The 13,848-nt window shown below is 34.8% G+C and overlaps 2 long non-coding RNA genes across 5 annotated transcripts in view, besides 1 other annotated feature; one reads left to right on the top strand and one right to left on the bottom strand.

The window, feature by feature from the left end:
* Nucleotides 1–13,848, bottom strand: part of LOC105375630 (uncharacterized) — a 559,756-nt gene that overhangs the window by 313,002 nt on the left and 232,906 nt on the right. The gene's annotated exons all lie outside the window — the stretch shown is intronic.
* LOC105375629 (uncharacterized) overlaps nucleotides 1–13,848 on the top strand; it is a 113,196-nt gene that overhangs the window by 24,298 nt on the left and 75,050 nt on the right. For all 3 annotated transcript variants that reach the window (XR_928383.4, XR_001745651.3, XR_007060999.1), the window contains one exon: nucleotides 8,486–8,693. This is a non-coding gene — a long non-coding RNA (uncharacterized LOC105375629). The remainder of the gene's footprint in view (nucleotides 1–8,485; nucleotides 8,694–13,848) is intronic.
* Nucleotides 8,330–8,948: an enhancer, noted in NCBI's record as "OCT4-NANOG hESC enhancer chr8:89577879-89578497 (GRCh37/hg19 assembly coordinates)". NCBI's record gives its function as "activates a minimal SCP1, AML or CMV promoter by ChIP-STARR-seq in primed H9 embryonic stem cells {active_cell/tissue: H9 hESC(primed)}" and the evidence as "EXISTENCE:reporter gene assay evidence [ECO:0000049][PMID:30033119]".

The following is a 13,848-nucleotide window of genomic DNA, read 5'->3' as shown; positions in this document are numbered from 1 at the left end:
TGGGTTCTACCCAGTTCGAGCTTCTCAGCTGCTTTGTTTACCTGCTCAAGCCTTGGCAATGGCGGGCACCCCTCCCCTAGCCTCGCTGCTGCATTGCAGTTTGATCTCAGACTGCTGTGCTAGCAATGAGTGAGGCTCCATTGGCATAGGACCCTCCGAGCCATGCTCGGGATATAATCTCCTGATGTGCCATTTGCTAAGACCGTTGGAAAAGCACAGTATTAGGATGGGAGTGACCCGATTTTCCAGATGCCATCTATCACCCCTTTCTTTGACAAGGAAGGGAATTCCCTGACCCCTTGCACTTCCCAGGTGAGGCAATGCCTCACCCTGCTTCGGCTCATGCTGGATGCACTGCACACACTGTCCTGCACCCACTTTCCAACACTCCCCAGTGAGATGAGCCCAGTACCTCAGTTGGAAATGCAGAAATCACCCATCTTCTGCATCGCTCATGCTGGGAGCTCTAGACTGGAGCTATTCCTATTCAGCCATCTTGGCTCCATCTGATGGCCTCTATTTCAAAGTAAAGTTTGATATCACGTTTATAGCTCATTATTGTTTACATTACCTCTGAAGGCAGTGGCTCCAAAATTTTATTAAGTTTATTAATGTATTCATTTATTTTTTCAAATTATAAGTGTGCCTAATCATAGTTGATGCTTGAGTATTTCTTACAGAAAGTTCTAAGCCAGTTGGTGGAAACTTCCCTATTAAGTTACCGAAGGATTTTAGCTCCCTCCATTCTGTGATACAACCATTTGAACATGTCTTCTAAGGTTGTTGAGGCAACAAGGGAATTGCAGGAGGCACAACAGCTTTTAACTGACTTGACTCAAAGGAAGCCACATCACATTTAATCATAGTTCATTGGATAAAAACTAGGTATTGTCCTATCCTAACTGCAAGAGAGTTTGAGAAATGTCAGAACATGATAAGACCTAATTGTCTGTCTCTTCCACTATTATCAAGACCTTACTAGACATTACTAAGGTGCATAGTAGATGTTTAAAAAGCAATTTAAAAATTCTGTGTCTTCTGAGATTACATGTTAGCAAAGTAGGTAAAAATTTTTACCAGTGTTCGTGTTCTATGTGAAGCAAGCATGAGTGAAAGGACTAATTCTACATAAGGATTGTGGAAAATGTAAGTAGAAGAGGTAACATTTAATGTGGTATTTAAAGCACAAGGATTTTGTCAAGTGAAGAAGAGGAAAGAGAATGTTTTAAGTAGGAGCAATAATGCGCACTTTTACTACCCTGACGTGGTTCAAACTAAGTTCTGGTAATGGGACTCATCCCTGTTGGCTGAAGTTTGGCAACCTGCTGAAGATACTGAATGTGATGGATGTGTGGACAGATGGAAAACATATTAAAGCCCCTTCAATATACCTTTATTGGCATCAATCAATATGTTCCACAAAATGGGAACATAGTAAGTCGTATCTGGGTGGCATAGACACAGGTATAAATCAATAATTATAACTTGTATCAATAGGTGATAATATAATTATATTTTACAATATAATGCATACAAAACTTCAAGACTGATAAAAGGGAAATAATTTGTTTTGAATACAGGAAATAGAATTTAAAAAATTATAGTAAACTTGACCTCAGACAGACAAGTGGGGCAAGGCAGTCCAGGCAGAGGAAGCAGCAAGTCAAAGTATGTGGACAAGAAGTTTCAGGATTCATTCAGACCATAACAAATAGGTTGGTATTGCTGGAGATTAAAATGAAAAGAAGATCTCATGGAAGGTAAAATTCTAAGAGCAACCTTTTTGGCAGTAGACTTAGAGTAGGCAGAAAATGAAAGTGATCTGGATGAGAAATTTTGAGATCCAGTGAGACTACCATGGTGACAGTGGAGAACAGTACAAGCTGGTTTTTAGGAGGTGGCTATGTTTTACTAGACAATTTTAAAGAGAAATTTTACTGCACTGTGTAAATGTTAAATGCACAGGAGCTGTATGAGTAAGTAGCAATATTTGCTCTCTAAAGAAAAGAATAAAATAGGCTGGGCATCATGGCTCATGCTTGTGATCCCAGAACTTTGGGAGGCCAAGGTGGGCGGATTACTTGTGGACAGGAGTTTGAGACTATCCTGGTCAACATGATGAAACACTGTCTCTACTAAAAATACAACAATTAGCCAGGTGTGGTGGCGTCGCCTGTAGTCCCAGATACTCAAGAGGCTGAAGCATGAGAATCACTTGAGCTCGGGATATGGAGGAGCCGAGATCACGCCACTGCACTCCAGCCTGAGTGACAGAGTAAGACTCAAGAAAGGAAGAAAGAGAATAATAGAACAGCTGGATATCCTATTTTAACTTATTTATAACATGCTTAGTCTCTAATCACACTTAAATACTTTAAAATGTCTTTTTGGGTGCATTTTAAGAAAAATCTGACTTTTCAAATAGAATAAAGAAAATGGATTTATCCACGCAATAGTAGTGAATAGTGTTGTATACTTAAAAATAAAGTTCATGTAGTTTTCCATAAGCCTATTAACACTATGCAAAGAACAAAAGGATGCATTTTATTATCAGATTCCAGACTAGGATCAAACCTATCTCTCTCTCCAGAAAATCAGACTCCCCAGAGGAACCCTCTGGATGACTTACAAAAAATTTTCTTTTTCAGATTTCTTATATATATATATATACATATATATATATATACACACACACACACACACACATATATATACACACATATATATGTATGTATTTTATTATACTTTAAGTTCTAGGGTACACGTGCACAACGTGCAGGTCTGTTACATATGTATACATCTGCCATGTTGATGTGCTGCACCCATTAACTCATCATTTACATTAGGTATATCTCCTAATACTATCCCTCCCCACTCCCCCCACCCCACAACAGGCCCCGGAGTGTGATGTTCCCCTTCCTGTGTCCAAGGGTTCTCATTGTTCAATTCTCACCTATGAGTGAGAAAATGCAGTGTTTGGTTTTTTGTCCTTGCGATAGTTTGCTGAGAATGATGGTTTCCAGCTTCATCCATGTCCCTACAAAGGACATGAACTCAACCTTTTTTGTGGCTGCATAGTATCACATGGTGTATATGTGCCACATTTTCTTAATCCAGTCTATCATTATAGGACATTTGGCTTGGTTCCAAGTCTTTGCTATTGTGAATAGTGCCACAATAAACATATGTGTGCATGTGTCTTTATAGCAGCATGACTTATAATCCTTTGGGTATATACCCAGTAATGGGATGGCTGGGTCAAACGGTATTTCTAGTTCTAGATCCCTCAGGAATTTCCACACTGTCTTCCACAATGGTTGAACTAGTTTACAGTCCCACCAACAGTGTAAAAGTGTTCCTATTTCTCCACATCCTCTCCAGCATCAATTATTTCTTGACTTTTTAATGATCGCCATTCTAACTGGTGTGAGATGGTATCTCATTGTGGTTTTGATTTGCATTTCTCTGATGGTCACTGATGATAAGCATTTTTTCATGTGTCTTTTGGCTGCATAAATGTCTTCTTTTGAGAAGTGTCTGTTCATATCCTTCGCCCACTTTTTGATGGGCTTGTTTTTTTCTTGCAAATTTGTTTCGGTTCACTGTAGATTCTGGATATTAGCCCTTTGTCAGTGAGTAGATTGCAAAAATTTTCTCCCATTCTGTAGGTTGCCTGTTCACTCTGATGGTAGTTTCTTTTGCTGTGCAGAAGCTCTTTAATTAGATCCCATTTGTCAATTTTGGCTTTTGTTGCCATTGCTTTTGGTGTTTTAGACATGAAGTCCTTGCCCATGCCTATGTCCTGAATGGTATTGCCTAGGTTTTCTTCTAGGGTTTTTAGACTTTCAGAAATTTTGAAGTCACAGCACCCTCATAAAATCCTCAGCATGGCAGATGTGGTCTTCCCTTCCAAAGAAGTGATGCAAATCACTTATGAAGGAAAACTCTTCTGCTGCTTATACACTTTTGCCTAGATAAAAGGCAGGATATCACTTTCATGTATCCAAAATATTTAGAAGGAAGTGTTGTATCTACCTAATAAGTTCAGGGCTTTAAGAATGACAGTTTTCAGATGAACAATAACTCCCGCAAAGCAATTTATAGCCCCAAATCCTACAAGACTTACTCTGGGTGACACTACTTCTGCAACAGTAGAACAAATTCTTCTATTTCATTGCATGTCCTGGCTTAGCTCTTATTATCTTCTCAGACAAGCCTCTACCCAAAACACAAGCGCTTCAGTGCTTTGACCTCAGGATCATCCAGTTAGGTCAACTCAACTCAGATACTTTTTCAATGCTACTTTATAGGCTTTGTATATACAGAGATGAACAAAAACTTGTTACTTCCTTTGAGGCTTTTGGTGAAGCTGAAGGAACAGATATGTTTTTTAAATGACTCTAATATGATGGAAAACACACAGGGTGCTAGGTCTTAAAAGATCAGTGCAGGAAAACTCAGGAAGTTGCAGCGCAGTTCAAAGCAGGGCAGGGCTGGTCGTACCAACCTTTGATGACATTTTATTTTAAAATATACACAGCCTAATTGCTAAAATGCTTGTCTCCTGTCCAACACTAGAAGAACAGTACCCTGGATAAGTTAGAATAATTTCTTTCCCACAGACAGATCTTTTAAAATGATAAGTCAAAGGAGCTTGGTAAAACAATATTTTATGGTTCTAACAAGTTAAAATTCCTTACTGAGCCTGAGCCTTCATATAAATACTTAATGGGAATGAAAAAAAATTGAAGGACCATAGGCCAGATATGAGAAGCCACATAAGACATAGAATACTTCATATCGATTTGCTTTGATTTTCTGCTGCAGGTCACAAGTATATCATCATATAATCATCTAGTTTCCTGGAATAAAGAATAATCTTTCTACTTAATCATTTTATTCAATAGTTAGAGCTTTTTAGCTCCTAGATCTAGAATTTTTGTGACCCATTATTTTTCACAAGACTCCACTCACATTCTATTTTAAATGCCATTAATTTTCTACACATAACATGGGAAATATTAGATAATACTCTTTTTTATTCATCCACTGTATTTAAACAAACCATTTTCCACTTTTACCATCTAATACTAGATTTCATCAGGCTTTAAGCAGTTATTGAACAATTAATCTAAGTGTATATAACACTACTCTATCTTCACTTATCTTTTTTATTGTTATTATTATGATCTCCTATTTTAACATCACGATTTCATTTGAGTCTTTCTTCAATATTTCACTACATGTAATTTCTATAATATTCTTTTTGATATTTACGAACTAATACGTGGTTTTGCCTAACAGCAAGAACAACTTTTTCTTCTATACACTGTATGTTTTCCTTTGTTATTTTATGTATAACTAGCAATTTATTTCCCCTAGAATTAACTAATTATACTTTTCTAATAAAATCTATGCCCTCAAATACATATTTTTTTCAGTTGCTGAAAGCTTTTTATCACACCACATTGCACAGTCCAGATTAAATGATGCACACCGAAGTTGTGCAAAGTTGCTGTTGACAGTAAATTTTTCCACTGACTTTTTTTTCTTTTTTTTTTTATCTCTACTTAGGAGACACACTATAAATCTCATTTTTTTGAATTTTTTAGTAAATATTCAAGTTTTATCATAGTTCATTTTTCCCACAAAGATTCTTGCTAATTTTTCCCCATCTCTGCATATTCTTAGATGCTTATATAAGGGTGTGCACTCTATCTTATGTACAAGATGCCCCCCTTAGCCTCCCTTACACTTTTCTTTTAGTTTCCTGGATAGACTCTGTATTAGTCACCCTTCTTATTGCTGATTTGAGTTTTACCCCAAACATTTTTTCTGCTTTCCATACAAAACTTCCAATTTGTGCTTTTTCCTGGAATATGTTTTTAAATTCGGAAAGTTAGTTTGATTACACTCATTGGGTAGCTTCTGTTTAAAAATAGAAACTGCATCAACATGGGAGAAAGACATTTAGGAGTTGTTTTATTTTGGTGAATATTGCAATATTTTATATTTCCTAGTAATTAACTCACATATTTTAGCTTTCAATATCCTTTTAATTGTACTTTGCCTAGAATCAGATTACTCTGGTTTGAGTTTACATTTATGAACTGTATAACTTTAATCAAGGAGCCTAACATGCTGAGCTACAGTTCCAATAACATGAAATGGGGATTTTAAGAACACCTATGACATAAAATTGGTATGAACACTTACTAACATTATATTTAAAAAGCACTTGACGTAATCCTTGGCACACAGCAAATTTGAGCTGTTTATATTCCAGTATTATTACATTTTCTATGGCAAATATGTGAAAATAAATACATCATTACTCACCATATTGATGTAGATACTGGAAAAACAACACATTCTGTTAATACATAATTTGAAACTGAAATTTTTCCGTCTAAAGGAAAATTAAGTCTTCTTACAAGTTTAAGAAACTTTAGGTAAAAGATAAAGTTCTTGGCTACAAGCCTTCTCAGAACTCTACACGCTTTTGGGGAAAACAGGAAACATTGACCAAACACATTTGCTTACGGCAAAGGGCACTGCAGGTTTGGTTATACATGCTGGAAAATGTTCATTTGATGAATCTGAAGAAGGAAAGATATTTGGTGCAAGGCATTATTTTATTACATATTTTAAAAATCAGACTTGTGTGTTGAGGAAATTGACCTGTCAAAGAAATGTAGAAACCTTTGATTCCTGTAGTTTTCTTTATTATTTTAAGAGGAGAGCAACGAGGTGATACTAGAAGAATGTTTTTCTGACCATAAGTGTCACTTTTTGCATTACGTCATTCTTTCATGAAGTAGTATTTTTCCAGTAAGGACAATATAATACATATCATATCATATTACCAGAAATGATTTCAGAATATTGTGAAGTTGCCTACAGGTGATCATTATATTACCCTTTGGCTTCCTCTGATGACGTCTCAGCCAGATGAGGGGATCCCTAAAATTAGTAGCTTACTTTTTGGTATCATATTAATACATACTTGCTCTGAAGAATAGTAATAAACACATTAGGGAAAAAATCATGACTCAGTGCAAATGCATCTCTGAAAACAAAATAACAAAATCTCTAAATAAATACCTTAGAAAATGCTGGAGCTTATATGGAGACAGACATGTAACCTAGGTAATTAAAAATAAAACCTGAAGTTGTCCGTAATAGTATATCATTTACAGATTAAGCCAACAGCAGAACTTAGTATCTATTGATGCATTCCATTTAAATTTATTTAAAAATATGCTTCAAATTATATTTTGCAAACCATTTTTATTATCTGTGTGTAATACCAATATGTTCACTGGGTCCTAAAACAGTATCTGGCCCTTTGTGGCCTTCAATATATGTTTGTTAAATGAAGCACAAATCAAACTACAGACCATTAGCTTTGGTATGACATTTTTCAGGACATACAAGTGAGTTTTACATAATTTATCTTCAATGGCCTGAGGGTTTTTAGATATTAACTATGAGTTAATAGTAAAATACTTCAGTAGTACACAAGTTACCAATACTGATAGGTGAGGCAAAACCAAAGGGCAACAAAATCAATGACAATCATTCTATTTTAGAAAACAAAACAATGTTTTAATACTTCCCACGTGTAAAAACTGGAATTTCCAAGGATTAAAATATAAGTGTTATTGAAAAGTGATATAGAAAGGGTGGCATATTTTCTAAGAGAAGTTATGATACAGCCAAAATTGTTTCTTTTAATGAATATAATTTTTGCTCATTCTATAATAGAAATATTGCTGAAAAAGCAATCTGATGAAATAGTAAGTACAGTATAAGTTTCTCACTAAACTATATAAGAAATACCCAAGTCAATCTTATTAAATTAGCAGCTAATTAAGAGTATAAATTGACTTCATTGAAATGAATTTTAAAAACCTTTGTTCTTTAGAAACACCATGAAAAGAGAAGGTAAATTACAGATTGGGAGATAATAAATATTTGTAAATCATACATCTAACACATATTTAGAATATAAAAAGAAGGCTTTAAACCATGTAAACAACAACACACATTAAATTAGAAAATGAGAAAAATACATGACAGATGTTTCACTTAAAAAGATATACAGATGGCAAATAAGCACATAAAAGGATTTTCTATATCATTAGCCATCAGGGAAACGCAAATTAAAACTAAAATGAGATAGTACTACACACCTATATTAATGACGAAAATAAATGCTTGTGAAAACTCCCAATGCTGGCAAAGCAGAGACATTAAATCACTCATATATAGAATGTAAAATGATACAGCCACTCTGGAAAACAGTTTGTCAGTTTCTTTTAAAACAAAAAATGACCTAAAATAAGACCCAAAAATTGCACTCTTAGGAATTTATCCCAGAGAAATGACATTTATGTTCACACAGAAACTTGTACATGAATCCTCATAGCAGTTTTATATTTAATATCCAAGACCTGGAAATAATCCAGATTTCATTTCACAGGTGAATGGCTATACAAGCTGTGATACAACCAAACCACAGAATGCCACTTAGAAATATAAAGGAACAGACTACTGATACATAAAACAACTTGGATGAACCTCAGAGCAATTATCCTCAGTGGAAAAAGCCAACCTACAATGATTACCTAGTGAATGATTTCATTTACGTAACATTCTCGAAATGCCAAGACCATAGAAATGGAAAACAGGTTAGTGGTTATCAGGGGTTAAGATGGGTGTGTGTAAGGATGGCTAAAGTTGGGTAGAACGAAGGAGCCATTTGATGATAGGACAGTCTCTATCTTAAATACGGTAAGTTACATGAAGCTACACGTGATAAAATTTCAAAGAAATATATACATTTATAATAATCACTGTATCTATACCTGTGAATTATGAATAAGTTCTGTAGTTTTACCAATGTCAGTTTTCTTGTTTTGGTATTGTGCTATACATAGGCAAGATGCTAATTTAACAATAGGGGAGGCTGCTAAGTCTTCCTTACTAGGGGGTCTGCATGCATGGGACCTCCCTGTAGCCTTCTTTGCAACTTTCTGTGAATCGATAATTACTTCAAAATAAAAAGTTAGAAAAAAAAGTCACTCAAAAGAAAATAAACGATGCATGGTATATAGGCTAACAATATTGTCTGTTTTTTTAATTGCTTTAACAGCATCCAGCATACTGGAGATACTCAAGAAATAGTTAATTACAAAAAAGTTTACTAAATAATAAAAGCAGCATCTTTAAATTCAATCTCACAATTAACATACATATAACATGTTCAGAATGGTTTTAATATTTATTGTCCAGTTCTAACTTTTGTAATGGATATGCAATCAATGCATTTTAGATCTTAGCAAATTAGTTTCAAGACATTGATAAGACTGGGACAATAAATTGTTTTTTATTGATATATCATAGTTGTACATATTTTGGAGGTACATGTGATATTTTCATACATGTGTATAATGTTTAATGATCAAATCAGGATAATTAGGATACCCATTACCTCATTTTTTGTGTGTGTGTTGAGAACATTACAATTCTTCTCTTCTAGCTGTTTTGAATATATAACAAATTATTTTTACCTGTAATATCCTTATTGTACTATTAAATATCTATATGAAGAAGAATTAAACTAAATCTCCATCTCTAAGGGTAGAACTCACATCTTCTAATTTTGCATTTTTACCATTAACTTCTCTTTATTCCTTCCCTACTCACCTTCCCTTCCTAGCCTCTGGTAACCATCATCCTACTCACTACCTTCAAGAGATCCACTTTTTTAGCTCCCATATATAATGAGAACATGCACTAATGAGAACATGCAATATTTGTCTTTCTTTCCCTGGCTTATCTCACTTAACATAATGACCTCTAATGACCTCCCTCCATGTTGCTACAAATGACAGGATTCCATTTTTCTTATGGCCAAATAATATTTCATCATATGTGTGTATATGTATATGATATATATATTGAGTTAATTTTTATATATATTGATTTTATATATATCATATATACTACATTGATTTTATATATTATATATTGATTTTATATATATTCATATATATTGAGTTTTCTACAGTTGAGTTGTGTATATATATAATACACATGTGTATATATAAAATACACATATGTATATATATAATACACATGTGTATTTTTTATATATATATATGTACACATACACACACACAAACACACACACCATGTTTTCTTTATCCATTTATCTGTTGATGGACCCTCAGGTTGATTTCATATTTTGGCTATTGTGAATAGTGCTCAGTAAACATGGGAGTGCAAATATCTCTTTGATATACTAATTTTCTTTCCTTTGGATATATACCTAGAAGCAGAACTGCTGGATCATATTTTTAGTTTCTTTGAGGAACCTCCACAGTTCTTTTCATACTGGCTGCACTACTTTACATTTTCACCAGTGGTGCATCAACATTCCCTTTCTCTGCATCCTCACTGGCATTTGTTATTTTTTGTGTTTTTGGTAATAGGTCTTCTAACTGGGATGAGATGATAACTAATTGTGTTTTTGATTTGCATTTCCTTGATGATTAGTGACTTGAGCATTTTTAAATATATCTGTTGGCCATTTGTGTATCTTCTTGTGAGAAATGTCTATTCAGGTCTTTTGTCCATTTTTTAATTGGATTATTTGTTATTGAGTTGTTTCAGTCCCTTATTATTCTGGTTATTAATCCCTTGCTGAATGGATGGTTTGCAAATATTTTCTCCCATTCTGTAGGTTATCTCTTCACTTTTTAAATGGTGTCTCCTTTGCTGTGAAGAAGGCTTTTACCTTGATGTAATTCCATTTGCCTGTTTTTGCTTTTGTTGTCTGTGCTTTTTGAGGTCTTCCCAAAAATATCTGTGTCCAGACCAATGTCCTTAGTACTTCCCCAAAGTTTTCTTTAGTAGTGTCATAGTATAAGGTCTTACATTTAAATATTTAATCCATTTTGAGCTGATTTGTGTATATGTTCAAAGACGAGATCTAGTTTTATTCTTTTGCATATGGATATCCTGTTTTCCCAGAACCATTTATTCAAAGGCTGTCTTTTCCCCAATGTATGTTCTTGGCACCTTTGTGGAAAATCAATTCTTAATTCTCAGAGTTCTTAAGATAATCAAAGTATAACATACATAAAGCTTACAAAAGTGGATGTCATTTATATAAAATAAGTACAGTAACCAAAGAAAATCTTGATTACATGAACACTGAGGAAAAGACAAATCCCTCACGTTGCCCAATTTTCAAACTTAGATGCAATATTGATTTTTGCATCTTGTTAATCTAAAACTTACTGCCAGGGACCATTTTTTTTTTATTTTCAGGAGACCTTTTAAGATAAGAAAATTGGACTTCATTTTATCTTAATTCACCTGATGAAAGTTTCTCATTGTCTCTCTCATTCTACCCCTTTACGACCTCCCCCATTTTACTCCTTAATAGACAAAGCTTCACTTTGTCTATTAAGAATCAATACAAAACTAAATACAGTGTGCTGCTACCCAACAAGGACTAAATGAAGAATTATATGAAAAGTCTTGAACTTTGAGTAAAATCAGTAAAAACTGCCCTTTTGCTACTTAACCTTTAACTAGTCAAAAGCTTTTTTTACTAGAAATAAGACAAGAGTATTGGATGCATTTTCTCAGATGCTGATTCAGTGATAAAAGTAATATAGACCCCCTCAAAACAGTGACTTAAGCATGACTAGAATTTTTTTCTGAAGTGAAATAAATACTTAAGTAGGGTGCTTAGATTGGTTTCATAGCTCCATGAAGACATCAGCATCAGGGACCAAGTTATCTTCCAGTCCATCTCTCTGCAAACTCTAGGTTATAGCCTTGATTACCCTGCCATAAGATGGCTGCTAGAGTGCCAGCTATCTCAAGGTTCTCAGAAGTTCTACATAGTACCTTCATTCACATATCAATCACAGTAACTTGGTCAACTAGTATTACAAAGGAAGCTGAAAGTTTCTTTTATAAATGTAGGCAATATGCTCCCTAAAATTTATCTTTTTTAAAATCTTAGGGAAGAAAACATACAATGGTTCTTAGGAGGTAAATAAAACCCCGAAAATAGATGCTATATTAAGGTTTTCCAGAGAAATAGAACCAATATTATACATATAATCTATCTATTTATCTATCATCTATCTTTTCTATCAAAAAGCTAGAGATGTAGATAGATGATAGCTAGATAGATAAATAGATAGATAGATGATAGATACATACATACATACATACATACATACATACATACATAGATGATAGATAGGTAGATAGATAGATAGATAGATAGATAGATAGATAGATAGATAGAGATTTATTATAAGGAATTGGCTCATACAGTTATGGAGGCTGAGCAGTCCCAAAATGTATAGTCAGCAATCTGGAGATTCAGGAGAGCTAGTGATGTAGTAGTTCCAGTCCAAATCCAAAGATCTGAAAACCAGGAGAGCTAATAGTGCAAGTTCTAGTCTGAGTTTGAAGATGTGAGAAGCAGGAGAGCTGATGGTTTAAGTTCTAGTCCAACAGCAAGAGAAGACTGGTGTCTCAGCTCAAGAAGTCACACAGGGGAAATTTCTTTTTACTTTGCCTTTTTGTTCTACTGATATCTTCAAGTAATTGAAGGAGGCTTACCCACATTAGGGACAGCAATCTGCTTTACTCAGTCTACTGATTTAAATATTAATTATATCCAGAAACACCCTCACAGACACACCCAGAATAATATTTGACGAACTGTCTGTGCACCCAATGGCCCAATCAAGTTGACATTTTAAAATTAGCCCTCACAAACATATTGATAACAAAACAAATAGGAAATACTCAAGAATATTAATCTTTATATCTGTTACCCATCATGTGGTCATAATGGGTATTTATAACTATCTTCGTCCATCACAATTCTGTATTCTCTCTGCATTCATCAAGGTCCTCAGTTGGCTATGGTTCTTTATCTGGCAGGATAACCCAAGTCTGTATTCCTGAAGGATCTGGGCCATTTGTCAACCTGCCTGGATTGGGTTGTTGTAGTTTTCCATTGAGTTTAATCACAGGGTATGATAATACTTACAGACACCCCAGGAAATCTCTTGTATTTCAACTACATTCTCCCTTAACTCCATTGTGAAATAGCAGGCCAACTTCCACTCAGTAGTTAGGCTCAATCACTCGAACCAGCTCAGTAACTCCATTCATTATCTAGTGACTCAGAGACATAAGGAGTCCAAAGTGGCTGAACAGCAGTCTAAACTTCCAGGTCAATGCAATCATTGTTTTGTCTTCTAGCAGAAGCAGTCTCCTTTAGAACAAGACCTCTAAGCCAGCATAAGTTCATGGGAATAGGAAACAAAATTTTTGCTAACGTGTCATAGAGAACATAGGGAGTGGTTCCACCCTTATCTCCACTCCCCAACTCACAGATCCATGAATCTTAGCTATAGGAGAAAGAGCACCACATATTGAATGCTGATTTGGAGCATATGCAGCCTTCTGAAGAACCTTTCCTCTTCCTGGGAAGGTATTGCCATGTAGCTGGTGCTGTAACTCAGTCTTCAAAAGGCCATTCCACCATTCTATCAAGTCAGCTGCTTCAGAATGATGTAGAACGTAATAAGACTGGTGTCTTCCATAAGCATGATCCCATTGCTGCATTTTTTTGGCTGTGAAATGAGTTCACTGATCAGAAGCAATGCTGTGTGGAATTACGATTTTGGATAGGGCATTCCATAAGTCCATGGATGATAGTTTTGGCAAAAGCATTGCATGCATGGGAAGCAAATTCACATCCAGAGTACATATCTATTCCAATAAGAACAAAATGCTGCA

The sequence above is a fragment of the Homo sapiens genome, chromosome 8 (assembly GCF_000001405.40).
Source record: "Homo sapiens chromosome 8, GRCh38.p14 Primary Assembly".
NCBI classification, from domain to species: domain Eukaryota; kingdom Metazoa; phylum Chordata; class Mammalia; order Primates; family Hominidae; genus Homo; species Homo sapiens.
Note: the sequence above shows the minus strand (reverse complement) of the source record. Positions and strands in the feature narration are given on the sequence as shown.